The 27,278-nt window shown below is 40.2% G+C and overlaps 1 annotated feature.

Annotated features, from left to right (window-relative positions):
- Positions 14,798-15,092: an enhancer, noted in NCBI's record as "tiled region #12150; K562 Activating DNase matched - State 5:Enh". NCBI's record gives its function as "activates a minimal TATA promoter and a strong SV40 promoter by Sharpr-MPRA in K562 cells {active_cell/tissue: K562}" and the evidence as "EXISTENCE:reporter gene assay evidence [ECO:0000049][PMID:27701403]".

Genomic DNA, 27,278 nt, shown 5'->3' with positions numbered 1-27,278 from the left:
TCATCCTGGTTAAAAACATCATTATTCTTGCTGGAATATCAACTACTGGCTGACAGCAGTTATCACTCAAGCCTGCCTAACCACTTAAGCTAGAAAGATTAAGAGGAGTTGGAATCCAACAGACTTTAGTTCAAATCTGGGTTAACCAAATAATTCATTATTTGACTTTGGGCAACTTCTTAGCCTCTATGAGCTTTAGTTTCCTTATCTATAGAATGGGGCTTATAATCAGTACCCAATGCAAGTAATTGTTGTTTGGACTAAATACAATCTAAACAACAATAATCATGGTACACCAAGCCTGTCACTCCAGTTTATCATAATGTGACTTCTACTTGATTTTCCCATCTTTCTCCATGATTCCTTCCCCATTCTTATGGAAACTTCCTCATTCTTATGAAACTGCATCAGTTCCAACCTCACAGATGCAGTCACCAATCTGAATGTGCATGCACAGCTCCATCACTGTGACTTTGACTCTATAGTTCCTTTCACCTGAAATGTCCTATTATCCTTCTTCAAGACTCAGCTCAATTTTACCTCTTCTATGAATCGTTCTTTTACCAGGTCAGCTCCTAACTCTTTGATCTCCTGGAGAACTTATGGCTGAAAGCTATCCATTTATCATCCCGTTTTGAACATTTGCTTTCTTTAATATTTTGTATCCCCAACTAGATTGCACCCTCCCTGACCCAGTGTCTTACACATAGATGGCACTCAACAAATATTTGCTAAATGCTTTATTTTCCTTTTATGTCATTGGGTAACACTGAAATTCTAATAACTAAATGTAAAAAGACAACCTACCTCCCCAGCACCATAACCACCACAAAAGGCTGTACAGCTTAAGTTAAGGCCTGTCTTCTGCTTTTGAATTTGCAATTGGAAACATATGGTGATTTGGAACATAGCCATTTTTTTTCTTTTTTTTTTCTGTCTAAAGAAACCTTTAAAGCCTCACTAAATATGTCAAGAAACAGCAATGAAAATGTCAAGAAATTGTAATATTGCTTATTGCAAAACACACACACACACACACACACCCCACTGCTGATGTGTTTATGAAGTTCCAAGTTGAAAAAACAAGGGCTAATTTTAGATTCTGGTTTTTTCCTTCAAGTCATAATAAGAAAAAATACAAACATCAACTGAAACCCCAGTGCACAAAACCTCTTAGTCATACCCAGTAGGCACTTTCAAAAACCAATTTTCTAGAGAAAGGATTGTAATTCGTAGCTCATTGAATCACGAATCCTGCTGCCCTGATGAATAGAAGGGATTGAAAGAACCACCACTGGAGTCCTGTGGCCCAGTCTTGAATGCAGATGTCAAAAATGGGAGCCACGACTTGGATGTTGTTTTCTCACACATTTTCCAGCTCGTTGAAACCCTGCAGTGCTTAAGATGACTTTGAAGACCCCAACTCAGGAGAAAATGAGCAACCCAGTTCTCAGTGACAGGAATGCCAATCTTTTGACATCCTGATAATCATCACAGCAATCAGTGGGGAATCAGGTATTGAAACTTAGACTTCACTGGGGAAATTCCCATCCAGTGCAGAGGAGTCTTTATTAAGAAAGCTCTGACTTTCTAAACACTCTGGTATCAGTAGCTCAATTCTCATTGCGGAAGACAGAGTGGGGAGGCAGAGTGATTGTTTCTGGATAATCCTGCTTTCTCCAGGGGGAATTCCTGACTTCTGGGCTACTGGTGTCCCAGAAGCAATGCCATCCTCTCCAGAACCATCTCAGAAGAATGACATCATCATGCCCTTACTCTTTGTTCTCTCATTTCCCTGCTTTCTTATAAACATCAGTAAATATATTAAAGCCAAGGCCAACAGAACCTTCAAAAAGATGTCTGTGTGTCATAGAATCATGGATCCCTTATGTCTTTACTGGAACTTGCTTTTTTTTTTTTTTTTTACTGTAATCACTGGGGCTTCAGTGATAAGATACCTTCATCACTAGCCAAAACATTATTCAAGAACCAGTCGAAATCTCGGATTCTTTATGAGCCCTTCCTCGGCAACTTTGGTCTTCTGGGAACCTTCTCTCCTCTCAGCCTTAGAAAACGTATTGATTAAACCTTCATTTGTTATTCACTGTGAACTTCTTTATTTTTTTGTGTGGGCAAGACTTTTCTTCTCAAATCGGTAGTGTCTTGTCTTATTTTATCATAAAGTTTAACAGAACCCTGAAGCCAGATGATCTGCGTTCCAGTGTGGCTTTGACACTTTCTAGGTGTGCAACACTGAGCAAGTTACCTAACTTCTCTGTACTTCACTTTCTTTATCTGTAAAATGAGGCTAGTAATGATATCTATCTCATAGAAAGGTAATGAATATTAAAGCAGTTAATCGATGTGAACTGTGTGGAACAGGCCTAGGAGACAGTAAGCACTAAATAATGCTATATATTAACTCCCTCAATACCTCTCACAGCAGTCCATACCATAGCTGATTCATTCATTTAACAAATGTGTATTGAGTGGCTACTATATTTCAGGGACCATTTTACAAGTTAGTAATGCAGGGGTGAACAAAGTTGATGAAGCTATTTCTCATGGAATCTACTCTCCAGAGAGACATATAATAAATAAATAAATAAATAACATGGTAAAACATAATTTAATACAACATAATAGGATATGGTTTCAGATAATGTTGTGAGCACTGGAGCAGCAGCATAGGGGATAAAGTGCGATGGGGGACTAGTCTACGAGAGGGTGGGGACACATTTTAAGTATTCACTAAGCATTTAATTGCCAAATCTGGAGAAAGAGGCTCACTGGCAACCCATCGGAAAGCTTGAAGCTGTGCATGACATGTTCCTTTCTGAATGTCCAATTAGAAAGAAGACTGTGAAGAAGGAAGTAAAATGGTAAAGTAAGCTAAATGTGTCCTGGGCAGCACATCTCCTGACTTGACATTATGTGTCCCTTCCTCTAATTCTACTTCTAAAATCATGTTTGCTAATTATAGCTGCCCAGAGATGTTCGGTGAAATTTAATCAATGATTTAATCTTCAGAACTTTCCTTTCATTTCCTAATCAAAGTTGACCAGTAATCCTAAATCCCCTTTCCTGAGGCCTCTGATTCTCTGCATTTCAGGATTAGACCGATTTATTTCCTAAACTATTCCAGGAATGTTTTCTAGTGGTGCTTGTGTGTAAAGGGGGAAAAAGCCTGGTTGCTCTCAGGCTATATTTCTGCTTTAGTGATGGCTATCTAATAATATGGTCCCAACTCAAGTAATTTGTATAATAACATCAATTTTTAAAAGCAAGACTGAGAAAAGATATCTTAGGGGCAGGTGAAACCTTGTGATACCTGAAAACAAAATCTCACAATATAGGCTGCATTCTTGTTCTAGAAAGTATAATTTTGTGGTTAATTATGATTCTGGAATCATACAGATCTGCGTACAAATTGTGGCCCCCGCCAATTACTTGCTATGTGATTTCCAAAAAGTAACCGTTTCTCAGTTTCCTCATCTGTAGACTGGGCAGACTAATGCTACTTCTTTTCTGGTTTTTAATAAGAATTAAATGAGTTCATGCAAGTAGCACATTTGGTACAGTATCTGATGTATTTCAAATACACAATCATATCTTCTAAAAATCTGTTTGTACAAATACAAAGTCTCTTTGTTTGACCAAAAGAGAGATTAATTTACACAGCTGCTCTTCAGAATGGAGTTTTTCATAGCAAATGTGAATATGGTTCCTTTCTTGACCTAACCCTAGGCAGGAAACAGTTTCCTTAGGTTGGGCACATTGTAATTGTGGTAAAACTGTGTAACCTTATTCATAACATGTCGTGTTTTGTTTGATGGTTTACAAATATTCTAAAGAGCTTGACCCATCAAAGAAGCTAGAGGTTGCCAGTTAGAGGAAACAGTCTGTAACTGAGAAACTTTCGAGTGAATAGCTTAAAAGAAAGAAAATACAAATAATTTCTTCACACCTCCATTAAAGGAGAGGCTCAACTCATCCGGGAAAGATGGCAGCAGGGTTCAAGGTGCCTTTGGAGAGAAATTGGGAAGAGTTTATGTACTGGGTAACGTGGTGTGAATGGGGTGGGGTGGAGATAAAAGATTTCCTGGAGTGTATCGGGGAATGGGCTACACCTGGAACTGGGAAAAAAGGCTTGTAACTTTACTGATGAGAGAAACATAGTTGCCGTTCTCTACATAAAAAGAAACCAGTGTTTGCAGCAGTTGAGTGAAGATGCAGACATTTAAATGATACTGAGATGTTTGTATTTTCTTTGACGGAGCCACCTCTTGTACCAATCTAGCAGCACCATTCTCAGGGGAGAGAATACAACATGAACGGGACCTCTGGAGCATAACTCCACTGTGTTTTTGTGAATGGAGTCCCCAGGAGTTGTGAAAGGCAAAAGCCTTGTCTTTAAGCTATTGCTCAAATTACATTATTTTTATTGCTTATAAGAATACATCACTGAGAGTGTTGTCTTATTAGTAAAATAGTGTTTGCCAGCCTATGAAAGCAATTAGTGATTCTCAAAGTGTGGTCTCTGGGCCACCTGCTTCCGAAATCATCTGGGGTGTTTTCTTCTCTTTTCTTTTCTTTCTTTTCTTTTCTTTTTTTTTTTTTTTTTTGAGATGGAGTCTTGCTCTGTTGCCCAGGCTGGAGTGCAGCAGAGTGATCTCAGCTCACTGCAACCTCTGCCTCCCGGGTTCAAGCAATTCTTCTGCCTCAGCCTCTTGAGTAGCTGGGACTACAGGCGCGCCCCCCATGCCTGGCTAATTTTTGTATTTTTAGTAGAGAAGGAGTTTCACCATGTTAGCCAGGATGATCTCGATCTCCTGACCTCGTGATCCACCTGCCTCGGCCTCCCAAAGTGCTGGGATTACAGGCATGAGCCACCGCGCCCGGCCTTGGGGTGTTTTCTAAAATGCAGATTCCTGGGTCCCACTTGAATCTTCTGACTCTATGGGGAATGGGGTCCAACAATCTGTTTTCCAAAGCATACCAGCTTATTCTAAAACACATTACAGTTTGAGGTCCAAAGAAATAGAAATTGTCAGAGACATAAGAGTGAATTTAAGAAAAAGAGCAGAGCAAATAATATGAGTAAGGCAGGTTGATTTAATTACTTCCTTTTATCAGAACTTTAGAAGTATATTCATCATAGATTTTCTCAGGTCGACTCCTGTAACTAGTTTGGTCATTCCTGAGTTTAGAGAAAGTATTCCTTTTAGATACACTCTTTTGTGTCCTAGAGAACCTGAAGTAACCTAGCTTAGTATGGATGGAAGAGAGTCATTTTAATGAGAAGACTCAATTTTAAAGACATGGATTTAGATTGAAAAGAGCTTAGCTACAGTCTGAAACAGCAAAGAGAAAATGCTTTCTATGTCCTAAAGGGAAAACAAACAAGCTAAAATAAACAAAATCAACAGCAACCAAAAACAAAGTAAGAACAAAACCTCTCTTTTTAAAAGCAGCTGCTGGAAGTTTGTACCCTTTGACCCAAATCTCCCCATTTTCCCTATCATCCAGCCCTTTCAGTTTTCTTTTTGTTGTTGTTGTTGCTTTTTTGAGATGGAGTCTAGTTCTGTCACCCAGGCTGGAGTGCAGTGATGTGATCTTGACTGACTACAACCTCCGCCTCCCAGGTTCAATTGATTCTCCTGCCTCAGCCTCCTTAGTAGCTGGAATTACAGGCGCCTGCCACCACGCCCCGCTAATTTTTGTATTTTTAGTAGAGACAGGGTTTCACTGTGTTGGCCAGTCTGGTCTCGAACTCCTGACCTTGTGATCTGCTGGCCTCGGCCTCCAGCCCTTTCAGTTTTAAGATGAATAAGTACTGGAGACCTAATATATAGTATAGTAACTACAGTTTAGAAATAATATTTTGTATATTTGAAATTTGCTGAAAGAATAGATCTTAGGTGTGTGTTCTTAACACACACACCAACATGCACACACACTAACTATGTGAGGTGACGGACGTTAATTAGCTTAACTGTGATGCATACATCGAAACGTTGTACTTCTTAAGTATGTACAATTTTTATTTGTCAATCTCAATAAAGTTGCGGGGGATGATACTTCTGAAAATGAAAGGTAAGAAGAATTCCATCTATATTCTTAAAGAAAAACAAAAGTTTAAAAAAAAATAAAAGTAGCTGCTAAATGTCATATTTTAGGATGTCCCCAGACTGCTATGTGTCTCTGTAATGTTGGTTCAAAGCAGGGAGCAGAAATTCTTCATTCCTTCTGTGCCTGGTGAGAGAGGATTAAGTTCAGTCCTTTCTGGGATTTGGGTCTCTGATGGACATAGTGGTGCATCACCTAGATTCCACCATAGAGATGACTGACTGACCCTCCCAGCTGCTGGGAATGCTACTGGCTGGGATACCCAGCATCCCTTATGGGGATTACCTCTGCTCGAGAGGGCTGTTTGGCCCAAAGTTGTGCCCCTTTCCAGAGCAGCTCACATTTAATGACTGCTCCAAGTAGAAATATAAAATCTTGGCTTCCTTATCCTTCAGGACAACCCTGAAGGGTCAGTCCAGCTTCAAAACTCCCTTTAGGGTTGGCTGCGGTCTCCAACGAAACTGAATCACAGCTCAACTTCTCCCCCCACACAATTCTTTCTTCTCTTCCCTTCTGCAGGTGTTGATCCCAATAGCACTCCTTAATAAACCTCCCACATATTTACCCTAGTCTTTTCTGGCTGCTATAAAAACATACCTTAAACTAGGTGGCGTATAAACAACAAGAACTTAATTCTCATAGTTCTGGGAGCCGGGAAGTCCAAAATCAAGGCACTGGCAGATTTGGTTTCTGGTGAGGGCTGCTCTCTGGTTCAAAGATGGTGCCTTCAGGTTGTGTCCCTCCCTGGTGGGAGAGGCCAGGCAGCAATCTGGGCCTCTTTTGTAAGACTTTCTAATCCCATTCATGAGTGCTCCACCCTGATGGCCTAATCACCTCCCAAAGTCCCCATTTCCTAAACATAATCACATGGGTAATTAGGCTTCAACATTTGAATTTTTGGTGGACACAAACATTTAGACCATAGTGATGCCCAACTCTATCTCAGAATCTGTTTCCTAGAGAATCCACCCATGTCTCCTCTTCTGTAGAGTCAGATTAGGGCAAGCATCAGGAGGAGGAAAGGACTCATTTATATCATTTTTTCCATCCCAGGCTCTGATCCTGGAGGTACATAAGCATGTTCCTGTTAGTCCATGAAAGGTTCTATCCTGTTATGGGAGTCTGACTGAAACTTCATTCTTTCCTTCAAATTATCTGAATGATTTCATCTGTCACTAGAATTTTACCCCTAAAGGACTTGTCCCAGAAATATCACATTGCTACTCTAATCACCATGTTAGACCTTTGAAATTAAAGATGATAGGGTTTTTTTTTCTGTCAGAGAATCAAAAACAGAGTTCCAGTTGATTAGTTGATTCATTCATTCATTTATTCATACATCCATTCAACAAATGTGTTTCGGGTGCCTATCATGTCTCAAGCGCTGATCCAGGCTGCTTTGGAACTAAAAACTTGGCCTGTTGAAGTCTACTTTCTAGACAGAAAAATAGAGAAGAGACAGAAAATAAATGCAAATAAATAAGTAAGTTGATTTCAGTTAGTGGTAAGGGTTATAGAGATAATAAAAGAGGATAATGTAATATAAAATTATTCTGGACAAGTGTATCAATAAAATCTTGGGCAAAGAAGCAATCTTTGAATAAATTTCTAGATGGGAAGATCTGGGCAGAGGCAATAGAAAGTGCAAAGCCTATGAAATGGGGAAAATCTTGGGAAAAACCCCTGTATGTCTAGAATATGGCAAAAATGGGGGCAGAAGATGAATTCAGCAAGTAGGGCAGAAGTGAGATTTTTGCAGAGCACTGTAAACCACGGTGAGAACTATAGATATTATTTGAAAGGCATTAGGTTCTTAAGCAGAGGAGTGACTTGATCCAATTTACATTTCAAAAAGATAACTAGCAGAAGATGAGGAAGATGTATCCTAAGGGAGCAAGAGAAAGAATCAGAGTAACCATTGAGAAGGTAGTTCTAGTAGACTGATAAGAACGGATAGTGCTTGTATCATGGTGAGATCTGCAAAGGCAAAGAGAAGGGCTTGGACTCAGAGTGATTTCAGAGATACAGAAGACAGGACATGCTTGTGGTTTGGATATGGTGTATGAGGGAGAAAAAATGAAAAAGGATCATGACTCCTAGATTTTTCAGCCTAAGTAATTGGGTAGGTTCTGCTGCCATTTTATGAGACGAGAAGACGGAATTTGAGTCTCTCTATAAATGATTAATGTGTTTTGCCTTGAGCAGCCACTGTCTTTTCCTGACAGAAAGACTGACAAAGACACTGCTGGATTTTTCATCCTTCTAACAGCCTCACCTGCCACCCCTGGGTTATTGTATATACCACAGAAAGCCAATCTGTACTCCTGCCAGAATTTCTCCTGAAACTTGTTATGCTTCAGTGTTTCAGGACACTGTATTATAAATGAGTAGCTAAAGGCAAATTGTAATTAGGGACAAAGGTAGTGGGGCATGCAAAGTTGGCACCACAATGAGCTCAGCATCCCTGTACAGGTGCCAGTTCTGTAGAACACTGGCATTGCTGTTCTACTGCCAAGATGGAACCACCTCCCACCACTCATCCCAGTGGGTAAAGGGAGAGGTGGACCAATCAAATATGACACTTTCAAGATCCCAAACCGGGTAATACTTATTCGATTATGGACCCATCTTTCATCAGGTACCAAAGAAGAAACAGATGATTAATCAGTTCAACCAGGTTCAAGTGTTTTTTTCTAAGGACAGTAGCAGAAAGTAGGGCTTTAGTTGAGAGTTCATTAGTGAGACTAATAGCGACTTTGAGAGTGCTCTATATTTATTTAACATCAAGGCCTTTTATCAAATGGGATTTGCTATCTTAACTGTGGAAAGTTTATTAGAAGTTTTTGTGACCACTTTTTTTTGTTCAGAAAAGTACTTTTTCTCTAGGTTGTTATTGAGAATCTCTTCTCTATTATCCCCTCACATTTTGTGCTGCCCTGGGTTTGATTAAATTTTCTCTTTTTCTATTGCTGTTCATGCCGGTGCATAAGTCTTGGAAATATACATTTCACAGACTCACTTCACTGCTGGCTTTATTATTCCCTTTTTTCCATTTTTCTCATCATTTTGATTTCATATATATATATATACACACACACATATATATCTTTGGAAACTTCCTTGAACAAAGGAGAGTTTATATCCTGCATATATTTATATTTATATGTGCATTCATATATCTCCTGGCAAGAATTCACTTTCTCTTTGGGCCCCAGAGAAAAGGTCTTGGGGCAAGGGAATCTTTCCAACACAAAACCACAATTCTCAAGCTGGGATATGCATTAGTGTTTGAGGGAAAAGATGAAGTCTTAGGGAAACAAAGCATATTTTCTGAAATATCAATTTTAATTGGTGATCTTTTGGATATTTTTCCTATTAAAAAAGAAACACTATATTAAAATGAAAGACCTTCAAGAATTTTAAGGATGAAATATGTGTGAAAAATAATCATTTATTCCACATACTTCCAAGCTACATCTTAACTAGATTCTTTTATTCACAATAAAGTAGAAGCTTCATGATTTCAAGAGCTACAGACCACCCTGCTTTTTACCAAAGGTAGGATTTATTTGCAAATTGAAATGGTTTGGATGGCTGAGCAGACATAGTTCCTTGGTCTTTGAAGGAGCTCAGAAGGGTTTGCCACAACCTGCAGACAAGGCCATGGGTGTGGCAAGGCAGTGGTTTTAAAAGGTAGGGGGGTTATGTCTCTGTTTGAACTTGCTAGAAGGCAGAAGATTTAAGGATGTCACCTTAAATGACATCCAATAATAACTTATCATAACTCTAAAAGAAGCACAAAGAAGAAAAAAATCCACTAAAATAAAAAAGATTTTAACAAATAACCATTTGCAGAAATTACTTGTTCTTGTTCTCTTTAAGTAGCTATCTTTAAGGGAGAGATTGTCTTTGTCTGGGTTTCTCTAAAATCTGCCTCTGAGACAAGCATTTGGGTGCCAGTATTTTATTTGGAAGGAGGTCCTGGGAAACATGTAAGACAGTTGGAAAGTTAAGCAGTGGAGACAGAAATGTTAATAAAGTATGTGTTAATAATCAAGTCACCATTAGGGCAAGTGAGACAAACCTATCAGGGTTCATCTGAGAGACTATGTGTTAGCTGGGTCCTGCAAGAAACAGGCTCCAAGACAGCATCAGATGTGCAAGAGATTTGGTAGAACAAATGCCTCTGAGGCGGAAAAGAAATGTAGCGGGTGGAGGTGGGGAGAGCGATCAGACCACAATGGAGGTGTCCCCTGTGAAAGACAAGGAGAAGTAAAGAGGATCACACAGGATGACTCTCAGACTACAGTGCAGTTCTAAGAAAAGTTCAGTCCAGCCAATAAGAAGCATGGGGCCAAAGCCATCTGCCAGAGGAGATCCACATCTCTCAGAAACGGGCTTTGCTTCAGTGTTCTAGCTGCTTTTAGTCATTGGCTAGGAGCTAATGTGTGTGAACTGTGACTTCAGCATGAATGCAGCCTTTTCCCTCAGGGGCATTTCCCACAACAAGTCTCTTACAAATGTAATCCCATGTTATCGTCTACTTCCTAAATAATCTAAATGAACACAGTGGTACTGAAAGCTGTCCAAGAAGACAGACAGTAAAATGAGGCCTCAGGACTGGCATACTCATACTCACTGGACAAAGAGGATGCCATCCTGAATGGTAACTGGGGCCTGGGTAGTCCCAGGCACAAAGTGGCAGCTCATTTACTAACAATGTCACCAATGGTGACATGGAAAAATGTCCTAGTGGAAGAGGTCACCACTGTGGGTGCAACCATTCAGGTATTTGAAAGATCTGGGGAAAAATGCCTGCAATGACAGTGGAGTTGGCTGGAGACTGCTAAATTATACTGATACCTCAAAGAGCATGAAAAACAGAAGGTTATTGACAAGTAGTAAAAGGCTAAATGTGAGAACCAGAAAGCCTTTTTGGTAGCTTACAAAGAATCACTCATCTTTAGCAGTAGAAAGCACACACAGCTGAACAGACTGAAGTTCTGATAGAGTTACAGGGATCAAAGGACATATGAATGCTAAGTTAAGGAAGATCTGTTGTTTTAAAGTTACGATCCTGGTTAGGAGAACTTTGGGACACTGAAACATGGGATAGGGACATCTGAATGAAGGTTTTGAGGGCATGGGTTCTGCAGACCTCTGCATATCCTCAGAGCCTGCAGAGGTGGTTCATTCATACCTAGCAAGAGCTAGCATTTCAATGCAGTGGAAGACACTGCAGAGGCCTCTTTTCGGCAAGGCAGCAAATGCCCTCCTCAGGAGCTTCCCCAGTCTCTTATGCTGGCTGTCAGGCAGATAACTAGGGTTAAAAGCCACCATAACCCAATAGGGAGTATGCTGAGCCTGAAACAGATGGACAGAAACTCTCTACCTAGGAATTTTCATGAATTAGCTAGCACGTGCCAGCAGAAGCAAATGCAGTATCATTGAGATTGAATTTTGAGAGTACTTGATCAAGAGAGCTGTAAAACTGCATAAACAAGAATTCATTCATATGGGGGCACTTTCTTTGGACATAGGCTTTAACATCCCAGAAAGAACCCCAGAGAATGGGATAAACTTGCTGCTAGGGTGGCTCTTAGAAGCTCAGAAAAAGTGATAGCTAATGTTGAATGAAGCAGAAGTGCCTAAGTTGCCCTGAAAGAGCACAGAGGAAGAAACAAAGAGGTTGAGGAAAGTGAGAATCCTGACATGGATATATTCTGTAAGACCAGAAGATGCACTAGAAGAGTATGCTTCACAGGAGGGTCCAGAGGACATACCTTGCATGAAGGCTGCCAGGCATGCACAGGTGAGAGGCCACCAGCATGAGTGAGAAGTTCAGTGGTGGCTATCCTCTGCAGGCTGATGGTAGTAGAGGTAATCACCGAGTTTTTAATAGCTATGGGAATGATATAGTCCCCAGATAACAAATATCCGGTACAGCACTCAACCACCAGAAGGCAGGAGCCCACAATTACCATAATGACAGGCAAGGAGGTTGACACAGAAGGAATCGTGGAAATGGTTAAAAGAGCTTAGCATCCGTGTGAGCAAGATAGACGAATAGCCAACAAAGATGCTGCTAAACATCTACGACCAAAAAGAAAAAGAAAGAAAGAACAAATTAACGGAAGAGCAGGACACTGACTGAGGGTGGTCACCCAGTAAAATGTCATGATCCTGGACCTGAGCCAATTTTCAGATCAGAAGCTCGTTTGCTGAAGAGGAGGTCAGCTTTCTAGGAGACAGGGCCCTAGGATGCCACGGCAGATATAAATTATGATGATTCTTTGAGTTTCCTCCCAAAGGGATTTATAGCTATTATTAGATGACTGTACACTGTGAAAATAGAGGTACCCAGATTTTTTTTAGGACTAATGGACAGAGGGTCTGAGTCAACATAGTTAGCTGAAGACCTAAAGCACATTATGGCCCCTGTGTTAGAAAGGGAGCTTAGGGGAGCCAGGTAATATGGAGTCCTGGCGAAAATGTGGCTCCCAGTGGACTCAATAGGTTCAGGAACCCACCTAGTGGCCGTTTCTCCAGTCCTAGAGTGTATAATTAAAACTGATATACTGGGCAGTTGGAATAACCCTGACATTGGGTCATTTGCTTGTAGGGTAAGAGCTATTACAGTGAGGAAGTATAAGTAGATACCTATGAAACTGCCCATGACCCTGGCCTAGCTAGTAAATCAAAAGCAATGTTACATCCTCTGTGGCATGGCAGAGGTTAGGGCCACCGTTAAAAAGCTGCAGGATGCAGGAGTGGTGGTAATCATCAGGTGTCCATTTAATATGCTAGTCTGGCTCCTGCAGAAACCAGATGGATCATGGAGAATGAATGACTTCACTGGCATAACCCATTCACTGAAGGCATAGCCTAGTAGTAGCCCCAGTTGCAGGTGCTGTGCCAGACATGTGTTGTAGCTAGAAAAGATTAATAAGCCTTTAAATCCCTGGTATGTAGCCATCGATTTGACATATGTGCTGTTTTCTATTCCAATTAGAAAAGAGGATCAGAAAGACTTTGCATTCATGTAGAACAGACAGCAATATTCATAAGATCTGTTGGATCATATGGCTGAAGTTGCAGGGTTTTGCCTCAGGGATATGTTAGGTCTCCTGTCTTGTGTCATGATATATTCATAAGAGATATGTATAATCTGAATATCCCATAGATAACCACTAATATACAATGTGGATGACCTCATGCTATTCACACAAGACAAGCAAAAGTGACTCATTTGCTTGAAGCCTTCTAAGACACATGAGCTGCAGAGAATGAGTAATGAACTTTATGAAGATTCAGAAAAACTGTCACTTCATTGAAGTTTTTAGGGGTGCAGGGCTAAGGGACATGACCTCCAAAGTAAAAGGCAAATCAATGCATCATCTGTCTTCTACCACAAAGAAGGGAATACAGCAGCTATCAGACCTCTTTGGAATCTGGAGTATTCCACAAACTAGCAATACTACTCCAGTTCACTTAATGAAGCTGCCAGCTTTAGGTCTAGAACAGAAAGGGGCTGTGCAGCAAGCCAAAATTGCTGAGCAAGCAGCCCTACCATTTTGGCCATACGATAGAGCAGTCTCTGTGGTGCTGGAGGTTCCCGTGATGGGAAAAGACCCAGCATGCAGCTTATGGCAGCTTCGGGGAGAGAATCACAACCTTTCCATCTACAGCAAAGGATGATGCCTTTTGAGAAACAGCATCTGTTCTATTGCCCTGGTAAAGACAGAATACTTAAGTATGGAGCATCAAGTGACCGTAGCAGTGGAACTGTCCATTATGAGGTGAATTCTGTTGGACCTCCCTAAGTCACAAAGTCAGACAAACACAGCATTTATTTATTGGAAGATGGAAGTGGTATGTTCAGGATAAAGCCTGAGCAGGATCTGTGGGCTTGAGTATCTATCTGTCTCAGCAGGTAGCCCAGACTCCCATGTCACTGCCTCAGTTGTACCAGCTCACATATATTGGGTCAAGAATGCCCCATAAAACCAGCTGACAGAGGAGGGATAAGGCCGAGCTTAGTTCACGGCAGGTTGGTACATGAGTACAAGCAGCTGCATTATAGCCACATTCAAGGGTGGTCTTGAAAGACGGTGGAGAAGGGGACAATCTTCTCAATGGGTGAAGCTGTGAGCAATGCATCTGGCCATCCACTCTGTGTGGAAGGAGAAGTGGCCTGAGGTGAAAACGCATGCAGGTTCTTAGTTCATGGTCAATGGCTTTGATGTCTGGTCAGGGGCCTGGAATGAAAAGGGCTGAAAACTAAGGACAAAGAGGTCTGGGGTACAGACTGTGGGTGGATGTATGCAGTGGGCATGAAGTGTAAAGATTTTGCTTTATATGTAAACATCTGCCAGAAAGCATCCTCCATGGAAGACATGCAGAATACCCAGTAGACAAAATGACTCAGCTAATTGACATAAGCCAGCCTTTGCTATCAGTCCCTCCAGAACTGACACTTTGTACACATGAATGGAGTGGCCAGTGGCACAAAGTTACATGTGGGCCCAACAAGTGACACTCACTTACCAAACCACTAGCTCCTTCTGCCTCTGCATATCCAACCTGCAAGCAACAGTGAGCAAGGCTGAGTCTCTGATATATCCCTACTGCTCCAAGAGACCATCTCAGTGTAAGACAACTATATTGGAGCCTTCTATTCTGAAAAGGCCAGTGCTTTGCCCTCACAGGGACAGATACATATTCCAGGTATGGATTTGCCTTTCCAGCCCACAGAACCTCAGATAGCACCACTAGCCAGGGCTTATGGAATATCTGACCCACAGACATAATCTCCGCACAGCAGAACAGCCATCTGGGAGACTCTGTCATTGCAAAGCAGATGCAGGGGTGGAGATATGAGGGCTGTATTTTCATAGCAGCCACAAGAACATAAGTTAGAATTGTCCCACTGAGGGGAGAGAAAGCTGGGTTATTAAGCACAAACACCAGTTCCTCGCTGGCTCAGTGTTGCTCCTCAGGTACCAGCTCTTAGCCTGTCCTGCCCTACTCAAACTGAGCATGATTTCATGGCTGTTTGAATGCCATCAAGCAAAGAGACATAGGAAGATATCCACAGGCCTGGGAACTGTCTGCCTGTGACCTCCAGAGTAGGTTGAGGGGGTATGAACAAGGCAGCAAAGGTATTTTCTACATGTTCACAAAATCTGGGAGTCATTTGTGTTGCATGGTGGCAAAAGTCAACCATACCCCAAACTGGATGTGAGGGGGAAGCATATTTTTATTTTACCTGTAACTAATCTATACTTTTCCTGACCCTACTCATGGTGAGTGGGAAACATTATTAGCTAAATGTATAATCTGGCTTGAGCCTAGTCTGATTCAATAATTTTAATAATTTAAAGCAGGACTTTCAGGTAGTATTAAGTCTTTCTGTGGTATACATAGCCTCTCCATTACCTGCCCAAGCATGCTTACGATAGTGGAAAACAGTTGACATCTCATGCCTCAAGGCCTCTTCTCCTCTGGTCTCTGAGGTGATATCCCTTGTCCACCTATACTCTGATGGCATTTGAGTCTGGAGTCTGAGGTTGGGGTAACTTCTAGATTGCTGCATTGCTAGTCATAACTCTGAGGCTATCTTGACCTCTCCATTGCTCCTGCAGGTGCCGTAGATCTATCTGGTGATTCTCTGTGACTATCACTCAAACTTCTACCATAGCAAACCCTTCAATGAAGGCTCTCAGCTATTGTCTTGCCAAGGCTCCTCCAACGAAAGCCACGGATGGCCCAGAAACATTGACCCCAAATCCTTCTCTCTGCCTCCCCATTCTGTACCACCCAGTTTACTTTGATGGGGCTATAGACCAGGCTGGTGATGGACTGCTCTGTCCTCAGTATTGCTCAGTCCAAAGCACTGCCCCTCCTTCATCTTCCGTCCACAGGATGTATATGGATGCCGTTGGATCCTTATCTTGTCTCTTCCTTCCTATCATCACTCTAGGATGAAAGGGTGATTTTTCCCCAAAGTTGTATTTTTCTTCCTCCTACTTCTAACTCTGGTCAAGCCTTAGGTGGAAATCAGGCTGAGAAAACTATGCACTGATGCCTCCAGGCTTGGGCTTTGAGAGGCTAAAGTTCAAGCTAAAGGAATTTTGGAAGTCTTCTCTCAATAGCCTGCTTGCAAGTCTTCCTGGTCTTGCAGCAAAATCCTATTTTTTAATGTCAGAAATGGAATTTTAATTCAATGTTTGTCTTTTTATGGCTACTCCAGCAAGTCCTAACCTTCTCCCAAGTAGATGAATGTTGGAGAGTGGACCAAGGCAAGAGATAAAATAACATTGCTAATATTAAAATTATTACTCCTATTATAATTACTCAAGAACAATGGCAACAGTCTATTAACCTTAATTTTTCTTGTGAGAAAGAGAGAAAAATACATCATTACTCAATGATGTTGGAGGGTCCCAGAATTTTCCCAATGGTCTTTCATAAGAGACTGACTTCAAAGGAATTTAGGGTTTGGAGCTAGCTGCTTTGAGCTACAGTCCCAGAACCCCTACAGATACATGGTTGGTTTCCCTTTCAAGTCAGAGAAAAGAGAGATAGAGAAGATGCTGTATTACAGATTCAAACCTAGTCCATCTTTCTCTAGGATCCCCATTGGACACATCTTTACATTCATGCTGGCTGCCATGGTAACTCCTGGCTACACGTTTCTCTATTCTAACCAGCCTGATGGATACTATGCAGGCAATTTATTATTATTTTTTTTTAATTTCAACTTTTATTTTAGATACAAGGGGTACATGTGCAGTTTTGTTACATGGGTATACTGCACCCAGATAGTGGGCATAGTACCCAACAGGCAGTTTTTCAACTCACATCCCTCTCCCCAATTCCCTTCTCTAGCAGTCCTCAGTATTTATTTTTCCCATGTTTATGTCATGTTTTCTCAATGTTCAGCTCTCACTTATAAGTGAGAATATGTGGTGTTTGATTTTCTGCTCCTGCATTAATTCCCTTAGAATTATGGCCTCCAGCTCCATCCACGTTGCTGCAAAGGACATGATTTCATTCCTTTTTATGGCTATGTAGTATTCCTTGGTGTATATGCAACATATTTTCTTTATCCAATCCACTGTTGATGGACACCTAGGCTGATTCCATGTCTTTGCTATTGTGAATAGTACGGCGATGAACATATGGGTGCATGTGTCTTTTTGGTAGAATGATCTATTTTCCTTTGGGTATATATCCAGTAACGGGGTTGCTGTGTCAAATGGTATCTCTATTTTAAGTTCTTTGAGAAATCTCCAAACTGCTTACAGTGGCTCATGCCTGTAATCCCAGCACATTGGGAGGACAAGGCAGGAGAATTGCTTGGGGCCAGGAGTTCAAGTGTAGGTAACTTATGTTTCCGACAGAGGTAGCCCCGATTTGATAGATCCTAAAGCTTATACAATTTGCAGGGTCCTCTTTAAGAAAAGAAATAGACAATTACAAGTACAAAATTAGGTATAGTTGTGTGTATCTATTTAGAATAAGAAAAAATTACAACAAATAGCAAGTTAAAAAAAAAGCCTGACAAATACCCTAAGTATCACAACATTTCAAAAGCATACTAGTTTTATTAATTATATTCTGAATACACCCTCCATCATAATTTTTTCTATATTGTTCCCTGCATACTCTGTAACTGACTCTTCGTGACATAACAGTTGGGTAATATTATTCTTTATAGAAAGAACAGAAAAATAGTTCAGCCTTTCCTATAGCAGAGTTTGTTTAGGAGAGCTTGGGGGAGGGGGAACATACAGGTGGGAGGACTCAGGGTCATATGGTTAGAAAACGTGTTTGTTGGCATGGAAGTATGTGGGGGACTAGAAGAGATACAAGAAAGACACTGTAAATAAATACATTTATCCAACTCAATGCAAATTAAAAGTATCCCCAACTCAGCTTCTACAAAATGCCTGTGGCCACTCCAACACACCTGACTGAAGAGGATGGGTGATGGAGGGAATGTCAGAGTAGAAAGGGAAAAGATTCTTAATCTGTTGGAACTATGATATCTTACTTTTGCAAATTTTGGAAAAATCATGGCCATGGGAACATATTTCAGGGTCTTGGAAAGGACCTGTGTAAGTGAAAGGCTTTGGCTTTGAGCTTCCTCATCTTCCTTCAAACCCACTGCTCTCTGAAAATATATTTGATGTATCCAATCTGTGCTCAGTTTCCTGATTCCTAATTCAGGACTCACTTCAGGAATTACTCCTTTAGGACGTCTTTCCTGATCCTCCAAGCCTGGATGGGTTTTGTCATGGAGGCTTTGAGCGGGACCCTTTCCATGGTCACAATGTACTGAAATTGACCCTTATCACACCTAAATTTTACTCCATCCCTACTCCTCCAGGGATCAAAATCTTTGAGGGCAGGGGCCACATTTTATTCATTATTGTATTCTCATCATTTAACACACAGTCTGGCATACTGGAGATGCTAAAAAGGATCTGATAAGTTTATAAAAGGAACAATGATTTGGGAGAAAAGGCATCTACTCCAGTGATTCCTAAGGAAGAACTCACTTCTTGACAAAGGGTCACCCAATAGGAACAAATATTCTTAAAATACAAAAATCCCTTCTCTATGATGGTTCTCCATTTCCTTCTTTCCAGACCTCCTTCTGTAACTATGTCTGATAGGGATCAAACTATTCCTATAAAGTGACCAGTATATAAAACTTGTGACTGTCCTAGCAGGAGTCTTTTAAATCTTTAAAAATTTTAACCATGTAACCTCTTCCTGTCTACTACTATGAATCACAGAGAGAAACAAATTTTAGTGTTGGAATGAAAAATTTGAATTCTATCCTTAAATAATCTACATTAGATCCTAACCTGTTACTTTCACCTTTTAATTCCTAATTCTTAGAAGATCATCTTCACCTGTCATTGTGCTAACATATTTTTGAGACTATAAATATAATTAGGGAGATGGGATAGCATATTAATGGTGCAAATCTCTGTAATCAGAGATTTGGATTAAAAATAAAAGCATGGCTTCATTTTATATTATCTGGGAGCAGAAACTGGGAGGCTGTGGAGTAGAAGACCAGAGTCAGCCCTTATCACTAATGATACTTCTCACCACATGTTGCAGCAGGCAAAAATTAGTATCCTCTATGCTGACAACACTCCAAGTCATTCTCAAATGTCTCTGGACTGATTTTGAAAGGGTCCTTTTGTTCTTAATATATTTCACAGCTTATGGGAGGACGTCCATAGCCAATTTTGACTTTTAATGACAAACAAAAGCACAGAAGGAAGAAGGTTTTGTAAACAAAGCACAAAAGGGGGAAATTTTAAAGTGTAGCGATTTGGAGTCAGAGGACCTGAGTTTGGATCTTGATTGTGTCACTGAAGGCCAATTTCTGAGCTCAAATTTCCTCATCTATAAAATTTTGATAATAAAAGTACCTCATGAGGTTGTGAAAAATTGTCAGATAATGAAGGTAAAGGGTGATTTGTAAAGTATAAAGGGCAAAAAAATGTTGGCTCTGATTTATGATGTAATATTTTGTGCTATGTATTACATATCCAGAAAAGCTATGTAAAGGTTTCTTTGAAAGTTCTTATTATTTAGAAAATGGAATCGTTTTGTGAAAGGAAAGAAGTCTGATAAGTCCTGAACTGATTAAGACCAAGTATATCCAGGGAGGTTGCCTCCAATTAATTTTAAAAAAAGTCTTTAAGAGATGAAAGTCATTGAGTTTATATGAAAAACTCACAAAAAGCCCTTAAAGTAAAAATGGGCAAACATTTTTAGAAGTCTGTCAGAAACAAATTGAGGGATAAATGAGATCTATTTAACTTCATCAGAAATCTGTGCGAAGTGAATGGATTATTTAAATAAACAAGAGTTACATGTTTCTCCTTGGCCATCAACATGTTATTTGTTGTTGATACAATAACATAGTAAACTTAAAGTGGTTTATTTGTCTAAAGGAAACAGCTTATCTTTTATTTGGAACATAGATGCAAGCTGAGTCCTGATCTGTGTTATTTCAGTGTCTGGTTGATTTGTACTTGAGGTTTCCGGAGCAAAAGCTTTGTTACTAAATACCTGGCGGGATCTCATAGCCATGGCTAGTGATCAAAATCTCCTGTTTGGTATTGAGAAGATTAATTCAGAATTGCCTTTTCTCTCATGATACATAATTCAGTTCAAGAAATAATTATTGAGACCTACTATATGCCAGGCATTATTCCAGGTTCTGAGAGTATAAAGATGAATGAAGAATATGCTGCTAATTTTGCTATTAATTTTGTTCTTGTACTGTAATTTTCTTCTGCCCCTGTGGCCCTCCCCTCTTTTATTCAACCTTGCCGTCTTCCTTCACTACTTCATGAAGGGAAGACAAGAGCTGGAAAACAGGGAGAGAAAAGTTAACCCCTGAATTTTAGAAAAGAAGATCTCAGAGGAATGTAAAGGGACATGGAATCAATAGCAGGAAAGCCTACACTGGAAGCTCCATCCATCCTTCACCTGCTAGATTGGTTGTTTTTTCTATTAATGTTTTGTGAAAACTACAAAAATATATAGAGCGTTTCTGGTTGGCTGGCTGATTGATGCCACCTGTGTCCTAAGACTGTGCTCTATCTGTACTGACTTACCGGACTTACTGGTATGCATAACTTTTTCAACATGACAGGACACAGATAAATTTCTGAGTTGGAAGCAAGGTCTCTCTAGGGAAATGGTGGTGATCTAGAAAATATAGAAAAACTACTGTCTCCTCCATATCTAGTGTCTCTTTTATTCTTGCATTCATCATAGCCCAGCTATAGAGCTAGAGACTGCATTTTATCAACTGCCGTATAGCCAGGTAAATCCATGTGTCAGGAGGTGAGTAGTTGTGCCAGTTGGGGGCTTTGATATAGACTTAGAACATTGGACAAGTATTTCTTCATCCATCATTCCCTTTACCACAGGCTGTAACACTGACTTGGCAAGACCCAGACTGAGGATGGCAGAGCAATAGAAAGGAGGAAACCTGGGTTCTTGGAGCAGAGCATCTCCTCCAATTGCACAACTCAGTGCTGGACTTGCCTTCTCTTTTACTTAAGTCATTGTAATTTCTGGCCTTATTTTTGTTTATGGAGTAAAATAGCTTTTACCCAAAAAACAGAAAGAAAAGCCTACTTCACCAATATATGGGTAGGAATGAATGGAAGCAGCTTGAGGTCTCTCCTTAGAAGTACTGATAGTTTATTAAGGGAAAGATGCATGGGAACAGAAGAGGGAGCCATCTGTCATGGCTGAAAAGTGAGAAGACAGGTAATATGACAGATCCAGAGGGCAAAGGGTCAGGGTAGGGCTGGTTAACTGAGACGCAGTGTCTATGTCTCTTGTACAGTTCTGGGCAAACATTGACAAATTCATGCTGCTTGGACTTTCTTTTTATTACTGGGCCTTTCATTAGCACTCTTTCTTCAGGCAAGACAGTGTAATTGATTAGATATGAATGCAATTTATGCATGCCCCATTGCCACACAAGATTATATGATTACTCATGGATGTTCTCAAACAATTTTAGCCACAGAGTTGAGCTCATTGTTTTTCATTCTCAGAAGGTAATCGAATTTCCATGTTCTTGCAATGGAAAAACTAGCTTTGTAAAGTGTTGGTGGTTTTATCATCCAAAACTAAATCTCAGGGCTGAATATTGTCGTTGACAGAGCATGAGAACATGCTCAGTCATAAGAAAATGGAGTATTTCTTGTGTGAAAAATGTGGCACACTCTTAATCCCCCTTTTCACCCTCTCCACTACCCCAGCATTGAATAGCTATGATGATACATTTAGCTGGTGGTTAAATCTTTGTGCATGATGATGTTCTGGGGTTTGATCCGGTCAGACTCAGAGGCAGCCCACTGGCCTGTGAGAAATTTTTATTTTTTTACTACAAGCAACTTCAAGTGCTTAGCAGTGAAGGGAAGGCACTGAATGCCCCATTCTCTATTCAAGTTTTTAAAAATAAACTCAAATTAAACCTAAAGGGAATTATAAGTGTTCAAAGTTTCACTCTCAATCCTTACTTACTGGATTTTGAGCCAGGGTACAAACACAAGCTCCCTTACTTGCCTCTATTTTCTGTACTAACTTTAAAAACAAACAGGCTGGGTGTGGTGGCTCAAGCCTGTAATCCTGGCACTTTGGGAGGCCGAGGCGGGCAGATCACAAGGTCAGGAGTACAAGACCAGCCTGGCCAACATAGGGAAACCCCATCTGTACTAAAAATACAAACAATTAGCCAGGTGTGGTGGCGGGTGCCTGTAGTCCCAGCTAGTCGGGAGGCTGAGGCAGGAGAATCGCTTGAACCCAAGAGGCAGAGGTTGCAGTGAGCCGAGATTGCACCACAGCACTCCAGCCTAGGCAACAGAGCGAGACTCCCTCTCAAAAAAACAAAACCAAAAACAAAACAAACAAACAAACAAACAAACTTTTTTACTTTGAAATAATTATAGTTTCACAGTAAGTTGCAAAGATAGTACAGAGAGGTCCCTTGTCTCCTTCACCCATTTCCTTCCACTGGCTGTATTTTACATAATGATACTACAGTATCAAAGCCAGAAAGTTGACAGTGGTATGGTGTGTGTGTGCAGTTATATGCCATTTTATCACATGTGTAGATTCATGTGACCACCACTCAGATCAAGATACACATAACATCACCACAAAATCCTCTTGGGCTACCCTTTTATAGTTCCCACCACTCACCTCTTCCCACCTTCCTTAAACCTTGACAACTACTAATCTGTTCTCCATCTCTTTAATTTTGTCATTTGAAGAATGTTATATAAATGGAATCATAAGCCATTTACATTTAATGTACTTATTGCTATGTTAGGACTTAAGATAGCTATTTTATTTCTTTTTATCTCTTTTGTTCTTTCAGTTTTTTACTTCTCTATTCTTTCTCCTGCCTTCCTATGGATTACTTCAACAGGTTTTAGAATTTCATTTTGATTTATCTGTAGCATTTTTTATGTATCTTTTGATACAGATTTTTGGTGGTTGCTGTAAGCGTGATATCATACACATGTAACTTATCAAAGTCAACTGATGTCAACACTTTACCAGTTTGAATAAAGCATAGAACTCTTATCTGCTTTTAACTACCTTTTACCCTCCCCTGTTTACAATGTAATTGCCTTAAATATTTTTCTACCTATACTGAGAACCACATCAAAAATTGTTATAATTTTTGCTTTAATCATCAAGCACAATTTAGAAAACTCGAGAGAGGGAAGACTGTTGAATGTATTAAGATTTTTAGATCTTTTTGTTTTTTCTTCTTCCTTCCAGATGTTTGAAGGTTCTTTTAAAAAGTCCTTTCCTTTCTGTTTCAAGAACTTTCTTTAGCCATTCTTTTGAAATAGGTCTGTAGTGACAAATCCTTTTAGTTTTCATTTCTTTGGGAAAGTTTCATTTTCTTTTCATTTAGAAGCATATTTTCACTAGATATAAAATTCTGTGCTGATAATTCTTTTATCTCAGCACTTGAAAAATGTTCTAATTCCTTCTGTCTCCCATAGTTTCTGATGAGAAATCCATTGTCATTGGAATTACTTTTCTCCTGTAGATAACATGTCTTTTCTCTGTCAGTGCTTTCAATACTCTCCCCTTGACTTTGGTTTTCAGAAGTTTGAGTGTGATGTGTCTTGATAGATTTCTTTGAATTCATCCTGTTTGGAATTTGCTCACCTTCTTGAGTCTGTAAGTTCAAGTCTTTCCCCAAATTTTGGAAATATTCAGCCATTATTTCTTTGAATATTTTTTTATCCCTACCATCTTCCTCCTTTTCCTGTGTCCAGTGACAAATGTTAGATCTTCTGTTATAGACCCACAGGTCTCCAAGGGTCTGTTTATTTTTCCCTCCTTATTTTCTCTCTGTTGTTCAGATTGGGTAATTTCTACTGTCCTACCTTCAAGCTCATTCTTTCCTTTGTCCTCTCCATTATTCTGTTGAACCTATCCATTGAGTTTTTATCTTACTTATAACATTTTTTAGTTCTAACATTTCAATTTGGCTCTACTTTATACCTTCTATTTCTTTACTGAGACTTTCAATTTTTTCCAATTGTTGCAAGCATGTTCATAATTGCTCACTGAAGCATTTTTCCGATGGCTGCTTTAGATTGCCTTTCAGATAAGTCCAACAACTGTGTCATCTCAGTGTTGGTGTATGTTGGCTTATTTTTCTCATTCAAATTAAGATTTTCTTGGTGTTTTGTATAATGTGTGATTTTTAAATTGAAATCTGGACATTTTTAGTATTTTGTCACGAACTTCTGTATCTTAATTAAATCTTTTTCTTCAGCAGGCCTCTTCTGACATTGCTCTGGGAGGGAAAGTGGTGGGGTGAGCATGGGGGGCGCTTCCTCATCATTGTCACATGGGAGTGAAATTCTTCCTCTTACACTATCTTCCTCTTACACTATTCTTCCTCTTACACTATCCTAGATGGGAGAGGTAGAAATGCCTTGTTAGTGCCAGATGTGGTCTCCATGTGGCCTCCACTAAAACTGTGTTGGGGATTTGGGGGAAGGTGTCTCATTATCATGGGATGGAAATGAAAGTCTCAGCTCCCTACTCTGTCTTCTCTGATACTACAGGGTGGGAGGCGGTTTAAGAGTGCCATATTACAGACAAGCAAGGGTGGAAATCCTGGCTTCCCAACTCTGCCTTTGCTGATGAGGGTGAGGCTGTGTGCTTTCTCTACGGTGTTTGACTAGGAGAGGATGGATTTTGTCTAAAAGTTTTCTGTCTAGCTAGGCTGTTCCTTTAGCTAGAAACGGCATGCTTTTCTTGGGGCTTTTGTTGTTGCTCACATTGGCATTTCCAGGCTGCTAGCTTCTTGGTTTCATGTCCAGGATATATGAGACAAAAAGAAAACCCAAGAAACTCGCCATGTTAGATCTCCAGTTTCAGGTCCCTAGCCAGTCTGCTATCTTTGCCCCACCTTTGAGCCTTCGCATGTTTATTTTATACATAATGTCCGGAGTTTTTGCTTGTATTTAACAGGAGGAATATAGAGAAGTATATATATCCACTCACTTGGTTTTATCCTTAGTATTTTCAGAGCTAATAATAACAATAACGACTGCTATGTTTTTAGTGCTGTTTACATGGCCAGTATCATGCTAATTTATTTACTTATGACAGTAATCTTATGAGGAAGGTACAATAATTACTAATGCCATTTGATACACGAAGAAACTGAAACTCAGAAATAATCCATGTAAACATTTAGAACAGTGCCTAGCACATATACTAATAAAGGCTAGGGAATATTATTGTTAATTATATTTTTAGCATTGTTAACTTGTCTGAAGGACCTAACTAATAACAACAGAGTTAGAATTCCACCCCAGTACAGTCTAAACTTGTAAACTGTAGGCAGTAATTTCTCTCAATTTGACTGAAACCACTGGGATTACTCAATTTCTACCGCATCTCGCATTATATCTTTACGCATCTCACTTATGTTACCACCACTGTTTTCTTTTCGGTTTTTTGTTTTGTTTTTGTTTGTTTGTTTGTTTGAGATGGAGCCTCACTCTGTCGCTCACGCTGGAGTGCAATGGCGCATTCTTGGCTCACTGCAACCTCTGCCTCCCAGGTTCAAGTGATTCTCCTGCCTCAGCCTTCCCAGTAGCTGGGATTACAGGCATGCACCACCACGCCTGGCTAATTTTTGTATTTTTAGTAGAGACAGGGTTTCACCATGTTGGCCAGACTGGTCTGGAACTCCTGACCTCAGGTGATCTGCCCGCCTTGACCTCCCAAAGTGCTGGGATTACAGGCATGAGCTAGCACACCCAGTTCTTTTCTTTATCTATAGTTTTCAAATTTCCTTCAATTTATAACCTGATAATAAAATAACTAATGTTTATGTAATATATATGGGAATGACAAAATGCTCTTACATTAATTACATTTAATATTTATTTCAAACTTCATTACAACTTCAGAGGCAGGTATTCTTAATTATAACACTATTTTAAAACTGAAATTCAGGGACAAGCCAAAAACCACATGGTTAGGAAGGGGTTGAGATATAACTCAAGCCCAGTGCTATTTCCACCATCCTGTGGTGCATCCGTAACCCACATCTCACTTTCATATCTTCCCTATAGCTCTCTGGGCTCATAACTTTCCTCTCTTTGGATCTCCTGGCAGAATATAAAGGACTTGAGGGAGAGAAGTTGGGGGGAGTTGGGGGAAGGTCCAGCAGATAAAATGGTGCCTCTAGAATTACAGATCCTTTCTAAGGGCTGTTGATCCATTAAAGATGTGTTGGAAATTCTGCCATATAATAGCACATTGCCTTAGTCCATCTGTGTTGCTATAAAAGAATACTTAAGAATGGGTAATTTATAAAGAAAAAAAAAGTTTGTTTGGCTTCTGGTTCTGCAGGCTGTACAAGCATGACACCAACATCTGGCTTTGATGAGAGTTTGAGGCTGCTTCCACTCATGGTGAAAGGGAAAATGGAGCCAGTATGTGGAAAGATCGCATTGCAAAAGAGGAAGCAAGAGAGAGGAGGAGGTGCCAGGCTCTTTTTAACAACTAGCTCCTGGGAGAACTAATAGAGTGATAATTCAGTCCTCTTTCCCCCTGGTGGGGAGTATTAATCTGTTCATGAGGTATGTATTCCCACGACCCAAACGCCTCCTCTTAAGCCTCATCTCCAACACTGGGGATCAAATTTTAACATGCGGTTTAGAGGGTCAAATATCCAAACTATAGCACACACCTTTCTCCTTTTGCTTGTGTCTTCCATGGAGTCATGTTTTGAGGTCTATTGAAGAATGGAGTGGTTGGGAGCATGGAGAAAGATAGGTGGCTTAGAAACAAATTAGACATGTAGGGGGTTGTTGCAACAGATTTCATTCAAGAGAGAGACTACAAAGGCAGAGACAGTTGAGATAAAGAACAGGGGAATAGAAGGATATTTAGAAGACATATTTGACCCAACAAACAGTGCTGTGTGTGTGTGTGTGTGTGTGTGTGTGTGTGTGTGTGTGTGTTTGTGTGTATTTGAAAGAGAAAGTTAGAAGAGGGGTCATTAATAACAGTGATGCTGCCAGGTTTCTGATTTG

This window comes from Homo sapiens, chromosome 11, assembly GCF_000001405.40.
Source record: "Homo sapiens chromosome 11, GRCh38.p14 Primary Assembly".
NCBI classification, from domain to species: domain Eukaryota; kingdom Metazoa; phylum Chordata; class Mammalia; order Primates; family Hominidae; genus Homo; species Homo sapiens.
The sequence above is the reverse complement of the archived record's forward strand: the minus strand, read 5'-3'. Positions and strand labels throughout refer to the sequence as shown.